Below are 25,736 nucleotides of genomic sequence, written 5' to 3' on the forward strand. Positions count from 1 at the left end.
GGAAGTGGGAAATGCACAGGCTTCTGGGGACATTTGACCCGTCATTTCTGACCTGGGAGGAATTGGGGGAATTCATTTAACCTTCCTGAGCCTCAGCCTCCTCGGCTGTAACGTGGAGATGCTGCTGGGTGCCTCACAGAGCTGTCGTGAAGGTCATGTTATGTGAAGGGTGTTTCGTAGACCACAGCCAGTGTACAAATAGTAGCTCTATTTGTGGTCTGGAACCTGCTATGCCAGCTGGTGAGGGTAGGGGGTGTCCCAGAAGGTTTGACTGTCGTCAGACCTTCCCCTCCCCCTTTGGAATGACTCTCACCTCCCCAAGATAATCTGATTAACTACTGAGTGTATAGAGATCCTGCCCCGGGGGCACAGCACAGGGGCACAGAGGTCTCAACAATGCGGAGCTCTGCCACAGAGGAGGGGAATGGTGCTGCTAGGACAGTCCAGAGGGAGAGAAATTTGGCAGTCCATTTTGGTTCAAAACCATTTTTTAAGAATGTTGGCCAGGCGCAGTGGCTCACACCTGTAATCCCAGCACTTTGGGAGGCCGAGGCGGGTGGATCACGAGGTCAGGAGATCGAGACCATCCTGGCTAACATGGTGAAACCCAGTCTCTACTAAAAATACAAAAAAATTAGCTGGGCGTGGTGGTGGGCACCTGTAGTCCCAGCTACTCAGGAGGCTGAGGCAGGAGAATCGCATGAACCTGGGAGGCAGAGCTTGCAGTCAGTCGAGATCGCGCCACTGCATTCCAGCCTGGGCAACTGAGCAAGACTGTCTCAAAAAACAAACAAACAAACAAACAAACAAACAAACAGTGTTTTACAAAAAGCCACAGGCACTCCCAAAATTCAGATCTGCAGGGAAAAATCAAATCTCACATTCTCACATCACTGAGTCCTGGTTCTCCAGCCCCCTGCCTAGTTACTGCATCCATGTACAGACATGCACAGGTAACACACACACACATTTACACATTTACATTTATGTTTCTTTCTTTTTTTTTTTTTTGAGATGGAATCTCGCTCTGTTGCCCAGGATACAGTGTGCAGTGGTGCGATCTCAGCTTACTGCAACCTCCATCTCCTGGGTTCAAGCGAGTCTGCTGCCTCAGCCTCCTGAGTAGCTGGGATTACAGGCGTGTGCCACCACGCCAGGCTAATATTTGTATTTTTAGTAGAGACGGGGTTTCACCATGTTGGCCAGGCTGGTCTCGAACTCCTGACCTCAAGTGATCTGCCCACCTTGGCCTCCCAAAGTGCTGGGATTACAAGCATGAGCCACCACGCCCAGCCTACATTTATATTTCTATCTCCCTCCCCCCAACCCTCTACTTTTTCTAGACATAAATGGAAGCATAGTGAGCATACTCTTCTGGATCTTGCTTTTGTTACTTTACAGATTGTTCCCTGTCAGCACAGGCAGATCCACTCCCGTTCTTTTTAATGACTGCAAGGAATTCCAATATCCAGTCACCTATTGGTAGATATTGAGTTATTTCCAGCCTTCTGCTACTCTAAAAATGGCTCAATCAGTAGCTTTATCCATATTTACATACATTTGTGAACATATCTGGAGGTAAAAACAAAAACCAACCAACCAACCCCACCACAGTGACATAATCATGATGAGCATTGGGTTGTGTTTTGTTTTTGCCATGTGTGAGTGTATATAGTGTGTGTGTTACATGGATGTGTCCTGTCGTGCACAAGATCTCTTGCTTATTTTATTTAACTGTGTATTATAAATGCCTATATTTTAAAATAACTTACTAAATTAATAAAAGTTACTCTCAGCCAGGCGGTGGTAGGCTCAGCAGACACAGCAGTAGCAGGTGACTGCAAATACTCCATTGAATGATTGTGCCCCCGATCAGTGTGCTCCTGTCCTTTCATGATGTATTTAGAGTGCTTCTGATATTTGGCTGTTTTGTAAAGAACACTCAGATGCACCCATTTGTAACTGAAGCTTTTCCAGCGTTTGAGTATGTTTCCATGGGTGAGATGGCAGGGTCAGAAAGGTGCTGTGTGTTGCCAAAGTGCTCTGCAGAGGGGCTGCCTGGCCATCCTGCTCAGCCGGGCCCATCTGAGATGGGAACTATGCTGTCACCCAGGGGTGGTGAGGAATCATTGTGAAGATGATTAAGACAAGTGAAGACAGATGGAGTTACCGTCTTAAAGTGTTACATGCAGGATGAGCATTTACTATTTCTGAGCCACCTCTGTTCAGATGAGGTTGGCATGTGCTTAGGAACATGGGGAGCCGCTGGGTTAAATGCTGCCCTGTCCTGGTTTGTATCAAATTATGGAGGATTGATGAGTGGAGATGGGTCAGTATGAATAATTCAAGATTCCGAGACACAGAATGGATTACTGGAGAGAGGAAGGAGATGAACAGACTTAAGGATCAGGCTTTTTTTTTTTTTTTAAGGATAAGATTTCAGAAAAGATACAGGAAAAGTCACAGCTATAGGGCATGGGTGTCACTGACAATTGTCCTTTCTCCCCTGTCTATAAAGGACATCGGTGGGGGCAGGGCTTTGGAGCAGTCTGCCAGGCTGGGATCTGGGTGCAAAAGGAAGCCCTGTCACTGGACAGTGTGAGTGGGGGGTTCCTGCCCCCAGAACACACCTCTCCTGCCTGCTTCCTGCACATTTCCACTCACTCCCTCAAGAGTGCTTGCTCCTGGGGGTTTAGAAGCCCCCCACCTTCTCTCCCAGGGTGCAGGGTCCAGGCCCTGGCCCTCTGCAGTCCTTTCTTTCCAGCGAGGACTCAGGCAGTTGCCGAGATCCAGATGTTTGGCTTCCGTCTCTGCTCGGCACAACGCTGTGCCTGAGAGTAAAGTCTGGGGTGTGCTTTTGTCCTGAAAAGGCATCCCAGCTTGGGCAGCTGCAGCTTTCTGGGACCCAGCGAAATAGAACTACACGTCCCCATGTTGAAATGCCAAGTTGTCCTCAAACCAACTCAGTGGCGTTCACAGCCAGGCCCTTCTACCATTTCCCTCTGAGGAGTCCAAGGGGAGCTTCTCCTTAAACCTCAGACCTCAGGACCACAGCCACGTCCCTTGCTCCCTCAACATGTGGCCAGCTGCCTGGTGGCTGGAAGTGACTTTACTGGGGGACCAGGAACTTCTAAGTGTGGCTTCCTCCCAGATCACCAGGGCCTAGGCACAGGCATGGTCACAGAGACCAACCTGGTGCAGGTGTCTAAACCCCCACCGGATCCCCACCCCTGTGCATCTCAGGCTTGGGAGGGTGCACACTCCCTTTCCTCAATGCCAACTCTCCTAGACAGGGTTCCAGAGCCCATCTCAGGCCTCTCACACTGGTCAGGACCCATTATTCAGCTTCCCTCTGTTCTCCTCGACATGCCCCTGGCCATGCTTTGCATTGTACCCTGATGTCCCTTCACTCTTTCTGCATGTTCAGGTCCTCCCCAGGGCACACCCTCTCCCGGAAGACTTTGTGCTATCTGTGGGCAGGTTGTGATAGCTCTGATGTTGTCTGGATTTTCCCAGCAGCTTCCTTGTCCTTCTCGGATAGCTTTTGGAACCCTCTGCCATCTTCCCTGTTGGTGGCTGTGTGTATGCTTTCCTGTTGCAATTCCTGCTAGACTGTATTCTCCTAGGGAGCAGGGACTTGTCTCTCTCCTTCTTTCACTGTCTTGCAAGTGTCTTGCTTGTTGGATACTGTGTGTTGGGTGTGAGAATGGGTGGGTGGTGGGTGGACAGAAAGGTGGGTGTCAAACCCTGGCCCCTCTGTCTGTGCGGTCACCTTGTCTAAGATAGATTGCTGCAATGAGACCTCTGAGCTGGGCCTCCTCCTCACTGTTGAAATAGAAAACAGAAGTATATTTTTAAGTGTTTGTTATATTTATCAAATGAAGCCTTATATTTCTTGTTCTTAATTTTAAAATCCCGAGAGTTGAATACTTGATATTTCTTCAAGAAAAAGAGAATCTAAATTGAGTTGCTTATTTTCTCATGTTTGACATTTTGCTTGATTTATCTTTTTCTTTTTTAGGCTGTGGCTCTCGATGAAAGGAAGGGTCCCCATCCCAAACTTGGCACAGTACTTGGCACATAGCAGGGTCTCCATATATAGTGAACGGAATTGCACTGTGATCCACAGCATGAGAGCCCCCTGGGTCTCTGCAGCTTGGAGAGCATCCTCTGCGTGTGGCAAGAGTGGGTTTTTAGCTCGGGAAAGTCAAGGCTGATGTGCTGTGTCAGATGCCCTTGCTGCCATGGTCTTTTCCTCTTAGCCCTGAAATCAGGGGCTGGGCACCCCCTTCCCTTTAGACGCTCTCTCAGGGACGGCCACTGAGTCCACCCCAGGCTCTGCGGCAGGCGTTGCTTGCAGTGTGCCATCCAGATGCCAGGTAGCCCTGCTTGGTATGCCAGGTGGGCTCTCACTGTTGATAAGGTCACGGCCAGCCCCTCCCCACCAAGGGAGTGGTTTCCATGGACAAGGCACCAGTCTGCTGGCTGGAAGGAACCCTGGACGCTTGGGCTCTATACCTGTGCATCCCCAGGGTGCTTTTTTTTTTTTTTTTTGGGGGGAGACAGAGTCTCATTCTGTCGCCCAGGCTGGGGTGCAGTGGCGTGATCTCGGCTTACTGCAACCTCTGCCTCCTGGGTTCACGTGATTCTCGTGCCTCAACCTCCTGAGTAGCTGGGATTACAGGTATGCACCACCACCACACCCAACTAATTTTTGTATTTTTTAGTAGAGATGGGTTTTCGCCATGTTGGCCAGGCTGGTCTCAAACTCCTGACCTCAGGTGATCTGCTCGCCTCGGCCTCCCAAAGTGCTGGGATTACAGGCGTGAGCCACTGCGCCCAGCTCCCAGGGCGCTTTTCTAACTTCCTTTGAAACTCACAGCAACCCTGTGAGTTGGAAGGACGGGATTCCTATCCCAACCAGACAAGTGAAGAAACTGAGGCTGACAAAAGCGAAGTGGCTTGTCCAGGGTTGCATAGCTAGGGGAGCTGGGATTTGAACCTGAATGTCCTGACCCTTTCAGCTGTAACATTTCTCACATCTTAATAGGCATTAAAAAAAAAAAAAATATATATATATATATATATATATATATATATATATATATATATATATATATATAATGCAGGTTTCCAGGCCCTTCCCCTGAGACTCGGATTCACTGGGTGTGGGGTGTTGCTGCACAATCTGCATTTGTAACAGACTCCCCCAGGCACTCCCAGTTTCCCCCTTAGAGAAACACTGCCCTGTACCGTGTGGCTTCTTAACTAGCTGCGTGGAAAAGTCACCTCCCTTTGGTCAGATCCATTCCAGGAATCTTGGGGCCAAGCTGAAGGCAGAGGAGAAATAGCCTTGGGACCCGACTGACACTGCTGTGTTTGTGCAAAGGAAGGGATAGGGAGAAGGGTCCCTTGGGGACAGCCAGACCAGACAGGCAGAGGTAGGTTGCGGTGCTGAATATCTTGCCTGTCAGTCAGCTTTGGCATAAAACCCTGGCTGCATAGTTCACTGACAGTGTGACTTTGGGCTAGTCACTTCATGTCTCTGTGCCTCAGTTTTCTCATCTATGAAATGGAGCTGATAATTCCTATCTCATAGACTTGTTAGGAAAGCTAAATTGGACAATGTCTAGAAGGAGCTAGCCCAGTGTTGTGCTCGAATCATAAGCCCCAGTCTCTCCTCAATAGACTGCACTCAAATCTTTTTTGTTCCTGGAAAGTCTTGCCCTCATCTCTCCTCTTAACTAAATGCTGCTGGTCTGGTCAGGTGCAGTAGCCCATGGCTGGTGTCCCGTTACCTTCTAAGGTGTGCAAGGAAGTCCCTATGCCTCGGTTCTGGAGTAGCAGGGAAAGGTGGCCACCTCAGCTCAGCTTCTAACTTCTGTGCCTCCTGGGATTTGAGAGTTAGCAGAAATTCTGCCTCCACTCACTCAGAAAATGCCTACAGCTTCTGGGTTTTGGGTGTTTGTGTTCTCTTCTGTCACCTGTACATGCTAAAAAAAAAGCCCTGATGCCTTCACTCCACTGCAGGTCCTTTCCATTGTAAAGGTTCTGAAGGCACCCTTGGATTGGGCTTAGTCTAGACAGCAGGAAGGGTTTCATCCAGCTGCATTCTGAAATCATCCTCAACTTGCTGGCCACATCGACCCCTAACTTATTTTACTCTGAAAGGTTTAAGTTGAAACTACTGAAGTTACTCACTTTGAGGTTGGAAGGGACCTTTAGTGATGGGGATGCCCCTCCCCTTCCCAGATGCTTCAGTTCTCAATAAGCCAGTGCTTGAATACCTCCTGGGGCAGGGTTCTTGCTCCTGCTGCAAGGCTGTTGCATTGTTGCAGTTTTAGTTTTTGGTTCCTTTCCGTACTCTGAAACGTTAAGAAGTTTCCCTGAACTAAGAAGTCTAGGAACAGGTGATGCAGGCAGGGTGGAGGTAGCAAGACTCCATCTACTGAGGCTGGGATGTGGGAGAGTTTATCAAGACAGAGACCCAGACCCTGGAGCCTGGTAACACTTGAAGGTGAACTTTGCATCAGAAACAAGATCCCCAGGGGTGGGCTTCATAGTCATCCCCCCACAGGTCTAGAGCAGTGTTCATTGCCACGTGCTTTGTTTTATAGAACTTTACAGTTTGAAAACTGCCTTTAATACACTTTATGTTCAGACCCTGGGATACAGAAGCAAGTTCCTCAGGTCCTCCCTGACTAGTGGCAGTGTGAATTTCAGAATCTGGAGAGGGGCTATGACTGAAGTTGGGGGACAGGTGGCCCAACAGGTAGACATGAAGGATGTGGAGTGAGGTATGTGCTGCTCAGAGGCTGGGTTTGGGACTGGGTGTGAGTACAGGGATGAGAACTCAAACTCACCAAGCCCCGTGGTTTATTGACATAAAAGTGACTGATTGTTAGAAAACCTCTTCCCTATTTGATGAAACTTCAAGCTTGTTTCATGTCGGAATTATCTCCCAAGTCATTAACTAGGGGCACACCTGTCGTGTTAATTGAACCCGTGTGGCTGGTGCAATCTTCACATGGAAGAAGAAAATGCTTGAAATGTGGGAGAGGCATGTGTGGTTTGGGGGCTCAGGGGCTTCTTTGGGGAGCCAAAAGATTGTACTAGTGAGGATGGGGCTGAGGGAGGAGGGTGCCATCCTCAGGGGCTCTATTTTTCAGCTCATTGCCTCTCTTCCAATGCTTTCTTTCATCCCAAGCCAGAGTTGTCTGTGGGGTGGGTGGTTTTCCCAGCTTTCTATTGTCGTGGTCTCTGTCCTGGCATGTGGGGAGAAGGCTGTGCCAGCTAGCACTGCAGCCAAACTCTCAGAACCCATATTTCAAAGCAATTACTGACTGAAAAAGCAGGCTTAGTTGCATAGCTCATAAATACTTCCAGACACCCGGCCACAGGCCTCAGAAACTGCTCACACGGCACCCCAGGTCCACGGGGGAGTTGCCTGACATGTCCCTGTGCTGGGTCCAGAGTCAGGAGCCACTGTCCAGGTCCTCTTGGTTCATGCAGAAGATGAAGAAGCATTGTCATACAAAGGGGAAACTTCCCAACCGTGGGACCAGAGACCCCATTTTTACTGTGTAACTGTGGGACGCAGGCAGTCACTCAGCCCCCCTGGGCCTTGCTTTCTTCTCTTTGTTGGAGGTGACAATGCCTACCTTACATGTTTGCGGGAAGAATGAACCATGATGAAATATGTGGAGGTGTTTGTAGACTGTGAAGTGCTGTGCAGATCTTAGCTGGGCTGTAAGGAAACCCTTTTCAGCCTGTTCTTAGAGCTGAAGGTAACAGGTTTAGGACAAATCAAGGGAGACTGAACTTAGTGGTCCCCCTCCATCCCTCTGTTTTGTGATATGGGAATGATAATAGCCTGCTGGGAGAGTTGTTCCGAGGAGTGAATGAGATCCTGCTGGTAAGCACTTGGCCAGGACTTGGCACACATAAGCTGTCAGTGTAGCCAGATTATTAACACCATACTGATAAAGACTTTCAGGGCTTATCCTCGAAGATGAGTTTTTGTGACAATTTGTTTGGAAATGCCGACCCCCACCCGAAACACCTAATGTATCAACTGGAACTTTTCTACGTGCTTTTCTGTCTGTTGTCTCATTTTACCTCCCAGCCACCCATGAGATAGAGCAGGGTTTTAGTCTCCATTTTATAGCTGAGGAAACTGAGGCACATAGGAGGGAAGTGTTTTTGTCCGAGATCATGGGGTGAGTTACTGGCAGAGCAAGAGTCTCCTGACTCCTAGAACAGTGCTTCTAACCCTGAACTGCTTTGAAGTTGGAAAGCCGAGCCCAATTAGCATCCCTGGTGGGATGGAGGTCTGGAGACTCAGAGTCTGTCCTGGTTGGAGCTTTCAGTAAACATTAAAAACAGGAACAGCAACATAGCTGCAGTATGTTCTCGTTGTTTTGTATGTATCACTTCACTAAATCCTCACAGCAACCTAATGAGGTCTGTACTGTTACTATCCCTGCTTTACTGATGAGGAAATTGAGGCACAGAAAACTTGCCCAGGGTTGTGTAGCTGATAAGTGGCAAAGAACCAAGTTTTGGAAATCTAGGCAGGCTGGCTGGAGACTGAGCTCCTCCCGGGTGTTCTCACCTTCGAGAGCTCAGTGTGTCATGGTCAGCAGATGAGGCGCTGAGGTGTAGAGATGAGCAAGTCATAACCCTGCCTTTGGCTGTAGACTTGCTGTGTAGCCCAGGACAGATGCCTCCCCTCCTCTCTGAGCCTTGAGTTGTCCATCTGTGGCATGGGGGCATTGGGCTCCCCAGCTCTAGGAAAGGGTAGCCTTTCTCTGGGTCCCTGGGAAGGCCTGAGGTGTGGAGTGGCCAGCTGGAGCCCCGGGCCAGCCATTGTTGCCGGGCTCTGTCAGCCGCGGGGTGTGGCCCCAACACTGCCAGGTCCTCCCCAGGGAGGAAGTGTCGGTGTTTACAGGAAATGCAGGACAAGTCCTGGGAGGTGGGTGGAGGAGGGGCAGCCAGCCACTGTGAGCCCTGAAGACATGTGGGGCTGAGGGCGGTGCCTCTCTTCTCACCCTTTGGACGAGGCTTTTCGTTGTTGTGGGAGGCAAAAGTCCCACTTCCTGGGCAGCCCTGCCCTTCCCCGCGCCTCTTCCCTCCAAGACTGCCACACCCCAAACGCCTGAACCCCAGGACAGCTGACCCCCTCTGCAGGGAGGCTTCTGGGAGCCATGGAAATCTGGTCTGCTTTCTCATCCTTCCCCCTGGCCCTCACTGCCCCCATCTGTTAAGTAGGTAACTTGCTGCAGCCTTAACACCGCAGGGCTCACTGCCCTCATGGAGTACAGAACCCAAATGGGAGAACCAAGATGCAAAAAGGCCAGGCCAGCCCCATGCAGCCCTGGAACCCATGGGGTACAGGTTAGGCACCTCACTTATACCACAAAAAGCTTCCTTAAGAAGTGTGTGAAAATTAAAATCTTGTAAGAAATGGGCTCTATGTTGATTATACTGATAGTATATAGGTTATTTTTTAAATTTATGCAAATAAAAAAGATTATAAATTAACTTATTGAACCTTGAAAGGTACCCACCCATGCAAGTGTAGGACCTAAAGCTTCAGCCCCATTAGCTTAGCTAGTAGTCAGGGAAGGCTTCCTAGAGTAGGATGTAAGGGTTGAGCTGGCCTTGGCAAGGAGAGGACCCTGGGCCCTGGCTGGTGTGAGAAGTCAGATCAGCTCAGGTCAGCAAACACTTTCCAGGCATCCATTCTCATCTGGGCTCTAGGGACCAGCAGAATCACATGCAGCCCCTGCCCTCAGGAGCAGCGTGGATTTATAGGGTTTAGAGCCCTTGGCAAAGGGTGGCATCCTCTGAAAATGCTTCTTCTGTGTTTGGAGTAGAGGAGGCAGATGGAGTTGGGGAAGACCACATGAGTGACATGACAAGAGCATGTGTGCACTATCACGTGTCTGGGTCCAAGTGTGAGGCCCTTCCGTTCTGGGCCTGAGCCTCAGTGTGTCCGTCTCTGTCTGGCCCTGTGTGATGGATTCCCTCTGCGTCCCCCATCCAGGCATCCCACTCCTGCCACAGGTGACGCTCCTGTTCATGTGCGTCAAAAGGCCTGCGCCCACCTGCCCTACAGGTGCTCTGTGCACACTCCTCTGTGTCCTGGCACCTCTCACACATTTTCATGCCTTGTGGGCTGGGAGTCCTGCTCTGCCCTGGTACTGCCCAGCACAGAGGAGGTGACAGTGAACCGAATGAATGGATGTGTCCAGTGTGTGGGTCCAGCCATGGGCCATCTGCTTGTGGTTTTGTCTGAGAGAGGTTGATGGAAGGGGAATATAGCAGAGTGGACCTTGGGCAAGTCATTTAACTTCACAGAGCCTTAGTTTCTCCAACTGAAAGATGAGTATAATAATAGTGCTTACCTCACTAAGTGGTTGAAAGTGCTTCTAACCCTCACTAAGCTGGTTGAAAGGATCAAACGAGGTAGCCCCTGGGACGTGCTCAGCTCAGTGCTTAATAAATGAATAAATACAGTAGAGGTTGCATAGACTCATTGTCAGAGGGGGAGCTCTGAAACCACATTCCCTGTGTTCAGATCCTGGCCCTGAACTTAGCCTCTGTGCACCTGTTTCTCCATCCGTAAAATGGGAGTGTTAATGTCTACAGGATACAGTGGTTGGGAAGAAGCCATAGAGCACCTGGCACTTAGTAAGCCCTAAAAAAAATGCTGGCTTCTGTGTCTGCTGTTGCTGCTGCTTCTGTTGTTAGTATTGGCTGGCTGTGTCTGTGTGGAAGGGAGGGGTGGGAGAAGGGGATTGTTATTCAGACCACCACACTTGGAAACCACAGGCTGCCCCTCTCATAGCTCCTGGCAACTTCAGATGTGGTGTGTGGTTATTAAATTATAGTGTCCTCTGTGAATCTCCAGCTGCTGCATCCTCCCCAGCTGCCTGGGGCAGGAGCAGTGACTCCCCGGCCCTTCCTGCTTCGCCTGTGGTCTGGCTTCCTCTGACTCCCAGAGCGGAGGTTGCAGGAGAAAGATGCGTCTGAGTTTCCTCCTGCTTTGGGCTGGAGTTAGGTGCTCAGGACCCACAACTGTAGAGCTCATCTTGCAGATGAGGAAACCAAGGCAGTCCCCACCACCCATCCTTCAGTATCAGCTGAACCTGTGGGAGAACCAGATCCAGCCTCTGGGGTGCTTCTCCCTCTCCCACCCCTGGCCATATTCCTAGTGATTTAAAAGCGTGGCCTGGTGAGGAAGGAAGCTCGTTTGTCTCCTAATACTTGTCTGGCCACAGTGTTCTCAGCAGTGGCAGCACCTGTGATGCCATTTCAGCGTGAGCCAGGTACTGTGTTATGTGTGCAGACAGAGAGACGCCCTCCCCCTGGGTGATGGGAGGAAGTCACCTCCATCAGCTGGGATGAGATGGGGAAACTGGGATAGGACAGTCATTTGTCGGGCACCTACTGTGTGCACTTCATGGAGGACACAGAAATGCATAGCAAGCCCATGACTGCTACCTTCAAGGAACTTTAATATAGGAACGTAAATTAACTGGAGTCGTTGTAGTAAACTGCAACGGGAGCCCCTCCTGCTGGAGAGACAGAAGGCTTCTTGGAAGAGGTGGTATTTGGGTTGGACCTTGGTTGGGGGGGCAGTGGTGGGTGGGAGGGATGGTGTTGGGCAAGTGCAGGGGAGGGTGGGAAGGAATTCTGTAACAGTCTTGGAAGGGGGATAGATGGGAAACTGCAAATGTATGCATGGGCCAGGGAGTTGGTTTGGCTGTGTAGGCTGGTCGGTAATGCCAAAGATGTGGCAGGAATCACTCTGGCAAAATTCCTCAGCTTTGGACATAAAATAAAGCCACAGCGCGTCGTGGTGAGAAGGGCTTCTAGTTCTAGTTCTCTTATTTTACAGATGGGGAAACTAAGGCCCTTGGAGGGGAAGGGGCCCACACTGGTGACAGAGGTGGGACCAGAACCCAGGTCTGTAAGCGTTGAGGAGCTCTGCCTGTTGAATTCAGACTGCCTGTAGCTCAGACGGACTCTAGTAACATAAAACCAGCAGGTACTGTGTTACACAGGTCGTATACCTCATTTACAGATGTCATCTCATCTGATCCCTACATAGACCCTCATAGACCTTGGGAATTTAAGGACTGATATCATCTCCATGTTATAGATGAGGAAACTGAGGCAGGCAGGTTAAGCAACTTACCCAAGGTCATTGGGCTGATAAGTGGCAGAACTGGGTCTTGGCATCAGACAGTCAGGTCCCAAAATGTATGCCCTTTACCACTGTCCTTTACTGCAGTCCCAGAGATGACCAAAATGTTAGAGCCAGTGGTTATGGCTAGGCCAGGCCTGTGACCCAACAGTGTGGCAGAAATGCTGGCTCCAGCCTCTGCTGCCAGCATCACTACCTCAGGTTGCCCAAGGCACTTCCAGTGTCCCAAAGACAGAGCCTGAGACACCATCACAGTGGTAGGTTTGTGGCTCCGGCTTACATATTGTTCTTGAATGTTACCTCTTTATGTTATAATTTTATGAGGTTCCTGAAGATCTTCTAAAAGTTTAAATTCCCCCCCACCCCCACTAGACTTCTGAGCCTCACTTGATTATCTGAAAATAAAGCCTTCATGGTCACAGTTGTGTTTCCCTTTTTCTCTTTGGCTAGGAAAAATAGTGTTTGCTCAGGTTGGGAGGAGGCTGAGATGGAATCAGAAAAAAACAAAATTCTTTGAAAATCCTTATAAAGCCACTTCAAACCCACTAGGATGGCTAAGATAAAAAAAAAAAAGGCAGACAATAACAAGTGTTGACAAGACTGTAGAGAAATTAGAACCCTCATACACTCCTGGTAGGAATGTGGAATGATACAGCCTCTTTGGAGTACAGTCTGGTAGTTCTCAAAACATTAAATATAGATTTATCATATGACCCAGCAATTCCACTTCTAGGTATATACCCAAGAGAAAGGAAAATATGGCTATACAAAAATGCGTACACAGATATTCACAGCAGCATTATACATGATAGCCAAAAAGAAACAATTCAAATGTCTATCAGTTGAATGGATAAGCAGTATGATCTGTCCATACTGTGGAATATTACTCAGCCATGAAAAAGAATGAAGAGCTGACACATGCTACAAAATGGGTGGACCTGGAAAACACACTAAGTGAAAGAATCCAGACCCAAAAAGCCTCATACTGTATGATTTCATGTAATGAAATGTTCAGAATAGGCAAATCCGTAGAGACGGGAAGTAGACTAGCGGTTGCCAGGGGCTGAGAGGCCTAGCAAGGAGTGAGGTTTCTTTTTGGATTGATGAAAATGTTCCAAAATTAGATAACGGTGTTGGCCACACAACTCTTTCAAATATACTAATATACTAAAAAGCACTGAATTGTATTTTAAAGGGGCATATTTCATGATATGTGACTCATATCTCATTAATGCTATTATAAAAAGAAAGCAAACCCCTCTGAAACCACTGATGCTGCTGCGTTTTAAGAGGAGGGGTGGGGATGTCTCTGGTCAGAAAACAAGGATGAACTTTTGTTTTTACTTAGTGAGAAATGGAAATTGAATTTTTTTAAAAGTCTCTCCTTCGGTCATGTTTCTGGGAACCATTACAATGCTATCCCTTGGCTGACCCTGGGTGCAGGAGGCATTCTCTCCGAGAGGCGTGAAAGGGAGCCTCACTTCAGACACGACGAGGCACCAGGCAGGCAGCGTTCTCAGGGCCTGGCCCCCAGGCTGTGGGATGTGTGTGTCTGGTCTCAGCACACAGTTTCATATGTCTGGGTGTTTTGTGCTTTGACCCATGAGTCCAGCCTCCACCTCAGTTTTATAGATGTGGAAACTTAGCCTCCCCAGGACAGCCACGACGTAGCCCAGATGACGCAGGGTTTCCTGAGGAATCCAGGACCCCCAGTCCTCTTGGGCTGTTTCCACAGTATCACATTTGCGCTGTGCTTTGTCTTCCGTGGTCCCAGTTACAGTGCAAATGATAGCTCCATCTGCAAAGATTGCAATGTCCCTGTGAGGACAAGGAAGCATCAGAGCAGAAGGGGTCACCAGGGGAAGTCCTGGAGGGACTGTTTAGTACTGGGAAGGTGCTGGGGTGCTGAGGGGTGAAGGATTCAGCAAAGGAGTGGAGCGAATGTCTGAGGGTTTAGAAATCCCTATCCCGTATCCAGCCCTCCCCTCCGCCCACTTACAAGCTCTTCCAGCTATTCTGCTAATTGGGATACTCATTCTCACCAGCCTGTCTCCTCCATTTCAAACTTTCCAGCTCCCAGAGAGCTCAGCCCCGAAGCCCCCTTCCCCTCCCTGCTGGGCTGGTGAGCTTCAGAAAGGTCCCAGCCTGTCTCGGAGGGGCTGGGAGAAGTTACGTCTGCAATCTGGCCCCATTTGCATGAATCTCCACACCAGTGAGGATGGAATTTGAGGTTGGAGTGCCCACTGAGAGATTCCCAGGGGGAAAAGCGTTCCTTTTTTTTTTTTTTTTTTTTTTTTTTTTTTTACGAGTTATTAGGCCCTTTTGGCTGTGCTCAGAGTTATGGCTCCCAACCAGCGTTACATAGGACGGAATTAAATGGTCAGAGTTGGACAGCACCAGGCCGGGTTACACAGCGTTCATCTCCCCACGTGGAGGCACATATCCTCTTACAACTCTAGGCTGCCGAAAAGGACTAGGCTCATTTGGAGCCTAGTCCTTTGGAAGGACATTTGGAAGGTCGTTTAAGGTAACAGCCTCTGAGCAGCTTTAATTGATATTCCCTTTACAGCACAAGTGGACTCAGAGGGTGGATACAGTCCCAGGGAGACTAGGCGGGGGGTTTAGAATTTGGCCCTTCTGCAGGCTCTTCAGAGCTGGCCAGAAAGGACCTGCTGTATGTCAGCCCCTGGCTGCTTTCACCATCGTGTTCTTATTGACTCCCACCGTGAACCTCCATAGTTATCACCACCTTATAGGTAAGAAACAGAGAGGTTGAGTGGCTTGCCTGAGGTCACACAGTGACTCTTTTCTGTGTGATGCCAACATTCTGGGCTACTTGGTCACTAAACTTAAAATGCTGACCACCTGGCCCTTTTCCCGTTTTCCCAGAATGTGACTCTCCAGGTAAACTTATTGAGTGGTGGGACCATAGTACTCCTGTAATGACCACATGCCCAGAATTTCCTGGAAAGATCCCATTCAGGGTACAACAGACCACTGGTCCTTTATTTTTTGTTTCTTTTCTTTTTATTTATTTATTTATTTATTTATTTATTTATTTATTTATTTATTGAGACGAGCTCACTCTGTCGCCCAGGCTGGACTGCAGTGGCGTGATCATAGCTCACTGCAGCCTTGACCTCCTGGGCTCAAGTGATCCTCCTGCCCTAGCCTCCCAAGTAGCTAGGACTACAGGTGTGCACCACTGCACCTAGCTAGTTTTTTAATTTTTTGTAGGTATGGGAGGTCTTGCTGTGTTGCCAGGGCTGATCTCAAAGACTCCTGGGCTCAGTCAATGCTCCCGCCTCAGCCTTCCAAAGTGCTGGGATTACAAGTGTGAGCCAGCAGACCTGGCCCTCTTTTATTTTTTAAATTGACAAATAATAATTGTACATATTCATTAGGTCCATAGTGATGTTTTGATATATGTAATTTATAGATCAGATCAGGATAGTTAGCATACCATCATCTCAAACGTTGATCATTTCTTTGTGTTGGGAACATTCAATATCCTCCTCCTAGCTATTTGAAACTATATAATATATGATTGATAACTGTAGTCCTCCTACAGTGCTATGGAACCCTAGAACTTATTCCTCTTATCTGGCTGTATCTTTTATTCTTTTACAGATCTCTCCCTATCCTCACCTTACTCCTATCCTTCCCAGCCTCTAGTATCCTCTGTTCCACTTTTTACGTCTATGAGGTTAGCTTTTTTTTAGTTTCCACATATGAGTGAGAACATGCAGTGTTTAACTTTCTGTTCCTCGCTTATTTCACTTAACATAATGTCCTCCAATCCCATTCATGTTGCAACAAATGACAGGATTTCTTTCTTTTTTATGGCTGAATAGTGTTCCGTTGTGTATGTATTTTCATTATCCATTCATCTGTTGTTGGATACCTAGGTTGATTCTGTATCTCAGCTACTGTGAATAGTGCTGCAGTAAAGATGGAGGTGTAGATGTCTCCTCCATATACTGATTTTCTTTCCTTTGGATAAATGCCCAGTAGTAGGATTGCTGGATCACATGGTAGTTCTATTTGTAGTTCTTTGAGGAATCTCCATATTGTTCTCCATAGTGGCTCTACTGATTTACATTCCCATCAGCAGTGTAGAAGAGTTCCCTTTTCTCCACATCCTTGCCAGCATTTGTTATCTTGCGTCTTTTTGATAATAGCCATTCTAACAGGTGTGAGATGATATCTCATTGTGGTTTTGATTGGCATTTCCCTAGTGATTAGTGATGTGGACATTTTAAAAATATACTTGTTGGCCATTTGTATGTTTTTTTTTTGAGAAATGTCTATTCATATCATTTACCCATCTTTTTAATCAGATTGGGTTTTTGTGTGTGTGTGTATGTTTTTTCTGTTAAGACCTTTGAGTTTCTTATCTATTCTGGATATTAATCCCCTGTCGGATGAGTAGTTTGCAGATATTTTCTCCCATTCTGTAGGTTGTCTTTTCACTCTGTTGATGATTTCCTTTGCTGTACAGATGCTTTGTTGTTTGATATAATCCCATTTGTTTATTTTTACTTTTGTTGCCTGTGTTTTTGAGGTCTTAGTCATAAAATATTTTCCCAGACCAATGCCCTGAAGCATTTCTCCTATGTTTTCTTCTACTAGTTTTATAGTTTTGGGTCTTACATTTAGGTCTTTGATCCCTTTTGAGGTTGATTTTTTTTATAGCATGAGAGGTAAGGATCTAGTTTCATTCCTCTACATATGGATATTCAGTTTTCCCAGACCCATTTAGACTGTCCTTTCTCCAGTGAATGTTCTTGGCACTTTTGTCAAAACATTAGTTGTCTGTATATATATGGATTAATTTCTGGGTTCTCTATTTTGTTCCCTTGTTCTGTGTGTCTGTTTTTATTCCAGTGCCATGCTTTTTTGGTTACTATAGCTTTGTAGTATATTTTGAAGTCTGGTAATGTGGTGCCCCCAGCTTTATTCTTTTGGCTCAGGATTGCTTTGGCTATTTGGGTCTTTTGTGGCTCCATGTAAATTTTAGAATTTTAATTTCTGTTTCTGTGAAGAATGTCATTAGTATTTTGATGGGGATTATGTTGAATCTGTAAATTGCTTTGGGTAAGTATTGTCATTTTTACAATAGTAATTCTTCTGATCCATGAGCATGGAATGTCTATTTGTTGGTATCCTCTTTGATTTTTTTCATCAGTGTTTTATGTTTTTTCTTGTAGAAGTCTTTCACCTTCTTAGTTAAATTTATTTCTAGATTGGGCTTTTCTTGTAGCTATTGTAAATGTAGTATTGTGATTTTTTTTTTGTAGCTCTTGAAAAATCGTTCTCAGCTAGTTTATTGTTCATGTATAGAAATGCTACGGATTTTTATATATTGATTATGTATCCTGCAACTTTACTGAGTTTATCAGCTCTAAGAGGTTTTTGGTAGAATATTTAGGGTTTTCTATATATAAGATTATGTCATCTGCAAACAGGGACAGTTTGACTTCTTCCTTTCTAATTTGGATGCCTTTTATTTCTTTCTCTTGCCTTATTGCTCTGGCTAGGACTCTCAGTAGTATGTTGAAGAATGGTGGTGAGAGTGGACACCTTTGTTTTGCTCCAGTTCTTAGAGGAAAAGATAAAAGCTAACAGTAAGATGTCAGCTGTGGATTTATCATATATGGCCATTATTATGTTGAGGTACTTTCCTTCTGCACCTAATTTATTGAGAGTTTTTATCACGAAGGGATGTTGAATATTATCAAATGATTTTTCTGTCCTTTAAACTCTTGAAATAATGGTTAGAAATGTCATCCTTTTTTTTTTTTGTTCTAGAGACAGGGCCTTGCTCTGTCACCCAGGCTGCTGGAGTGCAGTGGTGTGACCAGCAGCCTCCACCCCCCCAGGCTCAAGCAATTCTCCTGCCTCAGCCTCCCAAGTAGCTGAGGCTAATAGCTATAGGGATGAGCCACTACATTCAGCTAATTTTTTTTATTTTAGAGACGGGATCTCATTTTGTTGCCAAGAGTGGTCTTGAACTGCTGGCTTCAAGCGATCCTCCTGCTTCAGCTTCCCAAAGTGTTGGGATTACAGGCTTGAGCCACTGAGCCCTACTGAAATTTCATCCTTTTGGCCTCCAAACTATCTCTCAAATGTCCTTCCTCACTTAACATACAGCAAAGTTTCAGATCCTTGGTCCTGGTTTGGGGCTTGAGAAAACAAAGGCACTGAGCCCTGGGCAACCGGGAGACTTCAGCAAGGAAACAGATATGAAGTTGCCTATAAGTTGTAAGGTACTGTAGAGATGGGGGCCTTTCTACTGGTTCTGAACCACCCTTAGTGTCCGCTAGAGAGCAGAAAGATACCAGCTGATGGAAGGATGGGGCAGTCTGCATTTTCATTGTTCTGATGGGCTATTCTGATAAACTTATTTCGTCTGTTGCTGTCAGGCTATGGAAACACCACCAGTAGCTAATATCTAATGAGGACCTTCTTTGTGCCACTTCTGAGTGCCTTTGTTGCATTATTTCAATGAATCCTCTAAATAATCTATACCTATATTACTATCACCCCTGTTTTATAGATGAAACTGGAAAAAAAAAAAAGCTGAGACACGGAGAGATTAAGAAACTTGCTTGAAGTGGCACAGCTGGGATTCCACCCAGGCAGTCTGTCTGAGCCCACCCTCTCCACCTCTGAGGCCAGAGAGTACAGTAAAGTACCCAGAGTACAGTGCAAAGTGCTGGTGAAGAGGATAGGCTCAGAAGACTTCACTCTGTACTCTCTCTGGGCTCAGAAGTAATTTGCACTGTACTGTGTCTGAGGCCAGAGAGAGTACTTGAGTCATCTTTGATCCCTCCTTGTGTTAGCTCCATGAAGTAGAAGCTGAGCCATATTTGGTGAGTGAGTGTGAGGGGATGGGTGAGAAGGAGGGATGGCTGAGTGAGTAGATGGAAGGATGGCTGGAAGGGTGAGTGGATGGTCAGATGTCCAGTGTCCTGAAGCGGGTGGGTGGGTGGATGGATGGATGGATGGATGGATGGATGGATGGATGGATAGATAGATGAATAGATAGATGGGTGAATGAGTGGATGGGTAGGTAGTTGGGTTAGAGGGCTTTCTCATATGTAGTATATTGGTATGCTCAAGGAATCCACCTGAAGATAACACCTCATCCAGTTATGATTATAATGGGCATTTTTACTAGAGAGACTATAGACACTGTACCCTCAGTACCTGTAGTACAGAGTCTAGAACAGACGGCTCGTAATAGGAATTTTTTTGAATGAATGAAAAACCAGGCAGGCACCAGATAGCTGAAAATATAGAGCCTTGCAGGCTTCCTTTGACCATACTGAGCAGAGTACTCATCTCGGAGGTTTCTGTTGGCAGACTGGGGAGATAGATATGATATGTAAGTGTTCCCAATCTTTTTCCCCAAGGGAAGACGTGGTTACTTGCCCAGGACACAGTTCTGCCAGGTCTGTCACAGCATTTGGGAAGAGGTTAACATGTATCTGTCAGAGGTGTTTCCTTGCCCTGTGTATAATCAACCTCGTAGCAATACCAGGGTCGATGGGAGCAGCCATGTTGACAGCCTTGGTTTTAGTATCAGAACGTTTTGATTTGTTTATTTTACTGCTAACTTCTGTTTAAGATAGGGTCTGTTGCTGCCATTTTTTCATTGACTCTGCAAAGGCATTGTATCATACTTGCTCTTTCATGTTGTGGAAGTGCATATTTTAAAGACATTTCTAGACCTTTAAAAATGTATTACTATAATTTTTGATTGACAAATCATAATCCTATACATTTATGGGGTACAATGTGATGTTTTAGTATATGTATACAATGTGGCATAATTAAATCAAGGTCATTAACATATCCATCGCCTTATCATTTTTATGGTAAGACATTTGAAAGTTACTGTTAGTTGGCCAGGCACAGTGGCTCGTGCCTGTAATCCCGGCACTTTGGGAGGCTGAGGCGGGCAGATCGCTTGAGGTGAGGAGTTCGAGACCAGCCTGGCCAAGATGGTGAATCCCTGTCTCTATTAAAAAATACAAAAATTAGCTGGGCATAATGGCTTGCACCTGTAATCCCAGCTACTCGGGAGGCGGAGGCTCAAGAATCACTTGAACCTAGAAAGCAGAGGTTGCACTTAGCAGAGATCACATCACACTGCACTCCAGCCTGGGTGACAGAGCGAGACCTCCCCCCAAAAAAAAATAATAAAAGAAAGAAAGAAAAGTTACCCTTACCCAAAAGAAAAGAAAGAAAGAAGAAAGGTTACTCTTATTTTGAAATATGTAATACTTATTATTGACTGCAGTCACCCTGCTGTGCAGTAGTCTCAAAACCCATTCCTCATGCCTGTTTGAAACTTTGTACCCCTTGATCAACAGTAAAAGCACATTTCCTTTGTTTTGTTTTGTTTTTACAGCTCAGTGTACAAGATTTTATTTAGTGATATCTGAATTTGGTTCTATCATGTATGGCCCATGTTACAAGTTCCATCTGGGTCCATTACAACTCGAACCACTCCCCCCCCAAAAAGGGAAAGAAACTTAGAAAATCAACAACTGTTTCCATGTCATTAAATATATTCATATATAATAACCATAATATATTAGTATGCATTGGAAAGGGACACTGACCCAAACAATACATCATGGTCACAACTAAACATTTACAATTCTGAGTGAACAGAAATTCAAAACACAGGAGGGGGTCAAGGGAGGAGGTGAAGTGCATCTGGGAGCAGGGAATGGGAAGAAACGCCCAATGACAGGAGTGGGACTGGCTTGGCTTTTGGCAGGGGATGAGGCCCCACAAGTCCACATTTTGACACCCCTAGGTATGCCGTGGCTGTGGCCCACAGGAATGTCTTGTCGTGGACCGTGGCCCAATGGCCCCATCAATGAGTCTGGTTTGTCCACTCTCTGGGCTTCAGCGGGGCTTCCTTTAAGTGTTGAGAGCCTAAACGTCTTTCACTTTCCTGAAGGCAGGAACCAGCACATTTCTAATGGTGACTTATCCCCATTTGTTGTACTCATAATTCCTATATAGGACAGTGAAATAAATGAGCCAGAAATATCAGAGCACCTGAACCTTTGCCCCTAACATCTGTTTTAGTGATCTTTCTGGAAAACAGAATCAGATAAAGAAGTAGAATAAGAGGAGGGCCATCTGCATGGGCTCCACGACTGCCATGGCTGAGGCTGAATTGAGGATCAGAAGTAACCAGGTTCATCTGTGAGGTCTGTGCACCTCCAATATGAGCAAGATAACTTTAGTCAAACACGTTATTATAATTTAATAATTATACGGTTTATTTTAAAGTGTTAAAAGGGTCCGGGTGTGGTGGCATATACCTATAATTCCAGCTACTGGGGATGCTGAGGTGGGAGGATTGCTTGAACCCAGGAGTTAGAGTCCAGTGTGGCCAACATAGTGAGACCCCTTTTTTAAAAAAAAAAAATTTAAAAATTAGCTGAACATGGTGGTGTGTGCCTGTAGTCCTTAACTACTGGAGAGGCTGTGGCGGGAGGATTGCTTGAACCCAGGAGGTTGAGGCTGCGGTGAGCTATGATCATACCAGTGCACTCCAGCTCAGGCAGCAGAGCAAGACCCTGTGTCTAAAAATAATAATACATTTAAAAATACAGTGTTAAAAGAATACAGCATATGACCTCACAGGTATTATCACTTAGGATGATGAGGCCAGAGTTGGTAGCAAGTGTTATAAATGAGTTAACTTAAAGAAAACATGAGGCAAATGATAGAACAGCTGGAGGCAGCAACGGCCACGCTGAAGACGGGGGAGTGGCTCGGGTTTGGGAAGCACAAAGACAGGAAGGGACAGGAGAATACAGAGCTGATCGTGAAGAAAGCTGACGTTTATTGAGTTGTCATGTGTTGGGAACTATTCTGAATGTCTGATGTTATGTAACTCACTGTTAACTGAGCACTGCTGAGGCTTGGAGAGGTTAAACACAGCCAACAAACAGCCAAGCCAGAATCTGAACCCAGGAAGCCTAACTCAAGAGCATGAGCTCTCATCTCCGCACTCCACTGACTTACAGAAGTAAAATAACAACAAAAGCAAAGGCCCACCCAAGACCCAACTCCACATATCACTGCAGTGACAGGCCCAACTGCATCTGCTTTCAGGTCTCTAAAAGGGACCAAGCATGGAGAGAGGCACCTTCAGAGGCAGTGTATGTCAGCTCAGATTTGCCGCGTGACCTCGAGCTATCTCCTTCCCCTTTCCAGGGGTTTGGCTTCCGTGAGCCCTCTCCCCTGTATCACCCATGGCTCTGACTCATGGAAACCACCCCCTGCTTGGCTTGAGGCAGAGCCCCCAGGTTCTGTGATGCCCAGCAGCGTCTGATGCTGGGGAGACCACAGCAGCAGCAGCAGGAGCTGAGGGTGCCCACCTTGCCCTCCCCAGGTCCCGCAGGCTTGCTGGACAGGCTGAGCTCTTGGGGCCAAATCCCAGCAGCCCTGGAATGCCCCTGAAGAAGTTAAGCCAGGGGACAGCATGATCAGATTGGGTTTTGAGATGGTCATTATGGCCACTGGGTGGAGAACAGATTGGGTGACAGCCAGGGTGAAGTCAGAGAGCTCAGGAAGGCACCAGTTACAAATGTTCAGGCAGGAGGTGGCCTGGCCAGCAGAGGCTGTGCTAGAGATGCTAGATGTATGGTTGGGAGGTATTTGAAGGTAAGCCTGGGAGGAAGGTAAGCCTGACGCTCACATAGTGGCTGTGCTAGGAGACACTCGGGTTTCTGGCTTTCTGCCTGGCATGCACCTTCCTTTTGGATGTGGAGGAGGAGTGGTAGGAGTGCTGCTAACTGCTGCATCCCTCATCCTTACTGCTTATCCTGGATAGAGCACCACCTGCTCCTGCTGCCTGAGGTGGCTGTTTCTCTCAGAAGGAGGGCAGGACTCCACTCCAAGTCTGCTGGAAAAAGGGTTGCAAATTGATGCAGGCAGCTCTGGAGGGAGGGGAGTGAGGGTTTTGTGAGACCAGTCCATGCAGTCACTTTACTGAGCCTGATCTGAGCTCTGCCGAACAGGTGAGTTGTCCCTGACCTTTAGGCTGGGGACCACTCCTCAGTGGAGGGAGCTGGTGGCCCTTGGCAGCACGGTGACTTGCAGCGGAGGTGGAGGTGACCCTGAGACAGGAGGGAGGCTTTGGCACACCTCAGCAAGCCTGGCGGGGTGTTATTTCTTTGTATACCTTGGTAGTAGGTATATGGCTTGTTGTAAAACACCTCATCATTTGAAAGAGAAGGCCAAAAAGCAATGTTTTTGAAAAGGAAGAAGAAAGAGGTCTGACCAGAGGGTAGCCTGTTGGCTAGTAGGTTGAGTCGTGGCTCAACCTTGGTGAGGACTGGGTTTGCCTCTGTACACAAGTGTGCAGCCACAGTCCCCACCTCCAACCCATTATGTCAGTGGAGGCCCAGGCAGAGACAGGCCACCTTGTCCTTGCTCTGTCTGGCCCTATAGCCCCTTGTGGAGCAGGGGACCCTGCTCTGGCCTTGGCAGAGCCCCAAGCTGCTTAGGCTACAGGTACTCTGGGGTTGGGTACCTGCGGTTCTGGCTCCTATGAAAGATACTTGAGGAGCTCCAGGATAGGCTCCTAGCTCAGCTATTCCCTAAGGCTGTTTCTCCTCCCCTGATGTCCCCCACCCGCCTCACTTCCCCCTGCCTGGGCCAGGGCCTGAGGGAAAGCTTGGCCCAGGCAGTTCAGGAAGTGGCTGCTCCCTTCCGTCCTGCCATCCGTCAGTCATTCCAGTATCTCATCCAGGCATTCCCAGAGGGCAGGAGTATTTGGTAAGGATTTAATAAGACCAAATTTTGAGTAGGAAGAAAGGTTTGTGAGTTGTCTGGGGCCACGTTGCCAATGGCAAGAGGGAGCCACTGAAGGTTTTTGGGCAGGAGAAGGGCACAGTCTTTTGTGGAATAATCAGTCTGCTGTGTAGAGAGAAGGGCTGAGAGCCCCTGCTGTGGGGATCACAGTTTGTGATTGTGCATGAGTTCACATTTGAGGACAGGGACCATGTCTGCTTCACTCACCAGTGTTTTACTCGATGCCTAGCCCATGCCTGCTTAAAGCAGACAGTCAGTAAATATGTGCTGACTGCTATGTTCATTATTTACTGGCAACGCCTGTGGAGAGTAGTCACAGGCATAGAGACATGAGACTGTCACACCTAAATGAGCTGTGATGCTCACAGCACCTGCCAAGAAGGTGAGACAGGAATCCTTGTTGCTATGCAGCTGAGTGGGAACTGATGCCCTGAGCTATGTCTTGTCTGCAATCTAGCCGATGGCAAGGCCGGGACTAGGGGCTGGAACACACGTCCTGGATTCTGTCCACCACATCATTGCATCCCTTACTCAGGCCCAGAGCACACGGCCACCTTAAGGACTAACCCTGCCGCCTGACCAGGCCAGTCCAGATCCCAGACCACCCAGATTCAACATCTTCTGCCCGCATCCTGAGTTATTCGGGCCTTCCTCTGGCAGGGGAGCCTGCCCCCTGTCTGCAGGGAAGTGAGTCTGTCTTAACGTGTGCCAAGGCACTGGGCAGCAAGAGCCTGGTGTGTTCAGGGCTCCAAATGGAAGCCAGTGTGGCTGGGGGTGGGGAAGTAGGAATTTTGTGCCTGAGTCTTACTACTTGTTTTCTGTCCCCATGGCATGAATGGGACCCCTGGTAGGTTCACTTTGCCTATGCTAAACAAAAAGCTTTAACCCTTCTTTCCCCTGCTTTGACCCAGCGCCTACACAGAGCCCTACAAAGTCTGTCCCATCTCGTCGGCAGCCCCCAAAGAGGACCTTACGTCGGATGAAGAGCAGAGAAGCTCGGAGGAGGAGGACAGTGCTTCAAGAGACCCCAGTGTCACCCACAAGGTAGGGCACCCCACAGGTAGGCCGTGGGCATCGGAGACGTGAGGGTGGAGAGATGGCTGTAACAGATCTGCTCCTTCCCTTGGTGCGGACGGAGCTGTTTGCAGATAGCTGGCCCCAGCTGGATGCAGGGGCTGAGACACGCAGCATCAGGGCGCTAGGAAGCATCGCCTTCTGGGGACTGGCCTCAGTGATGCAAGGGCAACTGCTCATGCCGGTATTCTCTGGAGTCTGATGAAGTTTGGGGCTTTCTGGAGGCTTTGTGGATGATGTGGAATAGAGCTGCCTGATTTGAATGAAGACCAGCCTAGCTTCTAATGACCTTGGACACCCTGGGCCTCAGTTTCCTCATCTGTGAAGTGGAAATCATGAGGGTGAGATGTGTTAAAGGCTATCAGGGAATTTTGTGAACTGAAAAGTTTTAGATGAAAGCTGGTTTCCCTGGCCCTGCAGCAGTGCTGTGAGGGGATGGAGTTGCTGGAGGGAGGTTGCTGTCTAGAGGCTGATGGTGAGTTGGGGGCCACGTCACAGTGAAGACCCAGACCTCATTGCTGGGCACGGGTGCATCAGTGCTGATGGGGATAATATACACTCTCTATTGGACACTCATGGTGAGCCGGCCTTCACC

General features: G+C 47.7%; 1 protein-coding gene across 6 annotated transcripts in view, besides 2 other annotated features; it reads left to right on the top strand.

Annotated features, from left to right (window-relative positions):
• Positions 1 to 25,736, top strand: part of FGD5 (FYVE, RhoGEF and PH domain containing 5) — a 123,884-nt gene that overhangs the window by 28,462 nt on the left and 69,686 nt on the right. For all 6 annotated transcript variants that reach the window (XM_011533422.2, XM_011533423.2, XM_047447514.1 and 3 more), the window contains one exon: positions 24,979 to 25,111. In XM_011533422.2, the coding sequence (XP_011531724.2) occupies positions 24,979 to 25,111 (133 nt within the window). The remainder of the gene's footprint in view (positions 1 to 24,978; positions 25,112 to 25,736) is intronic.
• Positions 8,813 to 9,107: an enhancer, noted in NCBI's record as "tiled region #8692; HepG2 Activating non-DNase unmatched - State 20:ReprD, and K562 Activating DNase unmatched - State 1:Tss". NCBI's record gives its function as "activates a minimal TATA promoter and a strong SV40 promoter by Sharpr-MPRA in HepG2 and K562 cells {active_cell/tissue: HepG2 | K562}" and the evidence as "EXISTENCE:reporter gene assay evidence [ECO:0000049][PMID:27701403]".
• Positions 24,435 to 25,016: an enhancer, noted in NCBI's record as "H3K27ac-H3K4me1 hESC enhancer chr3:14905091-14905672 (GRCh37/hg19 assembly coordinates)". NCBI's record gives its function as "activates a minimal SCP1, AML or CMV promoter by ChIP-STARR-seq in naive H9 embryonic stem cells {active_cell/tissue: H9 hESC(naive)}" and the evidence as "EXISTENCE:reporter gene assay evidence [ECO:0000049][PMID:30033119]".

Source organism: Homo sapiens, chromosome 3, assembly GCF_000001405.40.
Source record: "Homo sapiens chromosome 3, GRCh38.p14 Primary Assembly".
NCBI classification, from domain to species: domain Eukaryota; kingdom Metazoa; phylum Chordata; class Mammalia; order Primates; family Hominidae; genus Homo; species Homo sapiens.